The sequence below is a fragment of the Homo sapiens genome, chromosome 10 (genome assembly GCF_000001405.40).
Source record: "Homo sapiens chromosome 10, GRCh38.p14 Primary Assembly".
NCBI classification, from domain to species: domain Eukaryota; kingdom Metazoa; phylum Chordata; class Mammalia; order Primates; family Hominidae; genus Homo; species Homo sapiens.
The window spans coordinates 33,875,464-33,878,852 of record NC_000010.11 but is presented as its reverse complement, the minus strand read 5'-3'; the positions used below and the strand labels follow the sequence as shown (position 1 = coordinate 33,878,852).

Below are 3,389 nucleotides of genomic sequence, written 5' to 3'. Positions count from 1 at the left end.
CAAGTGCTGTAAGACTCAGAGAGCATTTTCACTCATCAGGAGGCTGATTAAGCTTATTATTTGCTGTCCAAAAAGCTTCAGGTGCTTATTGACCTGAACTAAACTTGAAAACAGTAAAGGGAGAAAAGGAATGTGCTCCTAATTGAAAGCCCCAAGAAAACCGGGTCACCAAAGCTGAGGTGGACACGTCTCCTTAGTACAAATCGGGAAGCTGTGTTTTTCGGCCAAGATTCTACAGCTTGGGAAGGATCATTTCCCATCTTCCCGTGAGACCAGCGATACCCAACACATTTACAGAAGCTCCGTCATGTTTTCACACCTGGTCCCGTGTCCATATTTCCTTGCATCCAAACAAGAAGTGAGTTTTCGACATATCTTTTCACTCAAATATTTGAACTCTCCAGAGAACCATTCAGCAGTCTAGTTCTAGAGTTGCTGAGTTTCGAAGCTCAGGTTTCTTCAGTACCCATGGAGGATCCTTAAACATGCCAAGAAAAACAGCACAGCAGCTGCATCTTTGGGAGTGAGGTGCAAGCTTCCAAATATTATTTTAAAATCACCACTTATGGAAAGATAGAGAACTGTATGCCATCTTAGTATTTTTCAGTAGGGCTAGTTGGTTAAATACCATCCTCACCCCGTCACTTTTTTGCTCTATTGGCCATGGTTTTCCCTAATTTAATAAACCTCTCACATTTTCTTTTCCATAAACTACTTTAATTTTCCTACAGAAGTGACTGTAGGAAAATTAAATCCTGTATTTACCAAAAGAATCTTGACGAAATGATTACTTAAAAGTCACTTCTATGATAAGATACTCTGTTATTTTTCTTACTTTATTTAAAGCTGGAGAATGATGGTGGGTATTATAATTCACTCAGTGTTGTGATTGGACAGAGAGGCTGCTTTAGTTTAACAAAGGTCTCAGACCACTCTCATGGGGAATGTTGATAATACAGAAAGTTATGCATATGGAGTTGGGGAGTATGTGGGAAATCTTTATAGCTCTGTACAATTTTGCTGTGAACCTAAAGCTGCTAAAAAATTCTTTATAAAAAATGTAAAATTAATTTAAAAAAATAGGACATGTCCTGAATGGTCTGAGGCTGGTGTAAATTATCATTGTTCAGTCTTGCTAATATCTATTCCTGGGAAAGTAAAAGTGGGAAAAATAATGGATGGTGGAGGGATATTTAAAGAATAGGTATACCTTCATTTATTCTATGAAGTATCTGATAAATCAAAATGTATTTTCTTTATTTTATTCCAAAGGGCAAGTTTTCTTATCTCTTCCATGAATTCAGCATCATTCAACCCATGAGAAGGTAGGAGATGACATGTGGAATTTGAGCAGCCAAGATAAACAATCGTCTATTAAACCAAAACATTGTATGCCACTGGCACGACTCCTCAACTTGCTGGGAGGTTTGCTAAGGGATGGTGGGAATGGAGAGTTAAATCCACCAAGGATTTCTCACTTGAGATTTTCCCAATGTTTCTTTTCTATCCACCAATTACAATGCAGGAGTTTTCAGCCCAGGACAGCATCTTCACCTAAATTATTCCCTTATTTAATAGTACTCACAGGCCGCGTGATTCGCTGTGTACTCTTCCTAGCTTGGTCTTGCAGTTTTGGCTCTTGGTAGGAAGGAAGTTGCCAAACAATTGCCCTGTTGCATGTATCACTTCCAAACTCTTCACTCTTGCTGTTGTGGGGTTGTGTCTTTGTATTTTTTCCACATTTGTTCTCTGCTCTTTCTCAATAGAGCTGGAATCTCCTTTGTAAAACCAGAGGTTTCCATTGCATGGCAGTCTTTTTTAGGGCATTTATATCTCCATAGAATATACTTACAAAAATTAACTGGAGAATCCCAAAGTCAAGGGAAACTTCCGGAAGAGCAGAGATTTCAGTTGCAACCAGAATCTCAATTATCTCTGCACGATGATTACACAGTACTCAGAAAGGCGAGAAGAGACAGGAACGGAAACTCAAGCTTGCTTCACAAATTTGAGTCCTTGTATCTAAAGGCCCGAGGGAAGATGGCCAATAATTCACATTCTAGGCAAACAAAGCCTCTTGCCTCATTCCATTGCACAACTCCAAGTTAAGAAGGGGAGAAAGGTCATCTTTACTTCTCTCCATGTGCACCATCCAGAGCAGATGTGAGGTCTCTGCTGATCGCCAGTCAGCCTTGCTGCCAACTTTTCTACAACCCCAGGTCAAAGAACACAATGGAGCCTCACCCCTCTCTTTATGATATACTAATTTTCCCTTCACTACCTGCTTGTGGAATTGTTGGAAACATCCTGGGATGCAATCGTTTGGTCTTATTTCCCTTGTTATTTCACCCCCACACAAAATCCTTTTCTCTGAGGAGCTCAGGACCCCATGCCACAATTAAAGGACTTAATCTGACGCTCAATTATGCCTTGCTGGGTCAGTGATCTGTGAGCCGAATTAATGAGACCTGCTGATGACCCGACAAGGAGAAAGCCAACCAGGGGCAATTGGAAACAGAGAGAAGTGAAGGAAATGCGGGAATTCTAAGATGGGTTTGTGAGAGACTGACTCGCAGGGAACCAAGGGTCTCTGGGAGGTCAAGGTCAGTCAGGAGGCCTATTAAAAAGTTACAGGGGGAGAGAAACCCAGAAAGTTTCAGCAAAGCCACTATCAGGGTGTCACTGAGAGGGAGGAGAAAGGATTTTCTACTGCTGAACTATTCAGAGCCGGGCTGAGATATACAGAACATACCCAGGCTCCGACTCTTCACCAATGCTTCCTTGTTTGAATTTTCTTTTTTCTTTTTTCTTTTTTTTTGATATGGAGTCTCACTGTGTCTCCAAGGCTGGAATGCTGTGGCACGATCTCAGCTCACTGCAACCTCTGCCTCCTGGGTTCAAGTGATTCTCCTGCCTCAGCCTCCAGAGTAGCTGAGACTACAGGTGCGTGCCACCAGGCCCGGCTAATTTTTTGTATTTTTAGTAGAGACAGGATTTTGCCATGTTGGCCAGGCTGGTCTCAAACTCCTGACCTCAGGTAATCTGCCCGTCTCGGACTCCCAAAGTGCTGGGATTACAGGCTTGAGCCACCGCGCCTGGCCCCTTGTTTGAACTTTTTAGATTCATAGTGAACAGACAAGCTCAATGATGATTATGATAGTCATATCAGCTGATACTGTTATTGTGTGTTAATAACAACAATAGTAAAATATTTAACATTATTATGACGGCATATAGTAAAATACTTAACATTATTTAATTAACATAATTAAAATATTTAGCAATATGAACATTATTATTATATTAAATAGTAAAATATTTAACATAATTAAACACTGTGGTGCACTGAACATAGACCATCGGCCTTGCACCATACCAATTGCTTCAAA

The 3,389-nt window shown here is 40.7% G+C and overlaps 1 annotated feature.

Moving 5' to 3' along the window:
• Positions 548-1,747: an enhancer, noted in NCBI's record as "BRD4-independent group 4 enhancer chr10:34166034-34167233 (GRCh37/hg19 assembly coordinates)". NCBI's record gives its function as "activates an origin of replication core promoter dependent on BRD2, P300/CBP, MED14 and CDK7 cofactors, and independent of BRD4, by STARR-seq in HCT116 cells {active_cell/tissue: HCT116}" and the evidence as "EXISTENCE:reporter gene assay evidence [ECO:0000049][PMID:35650434]".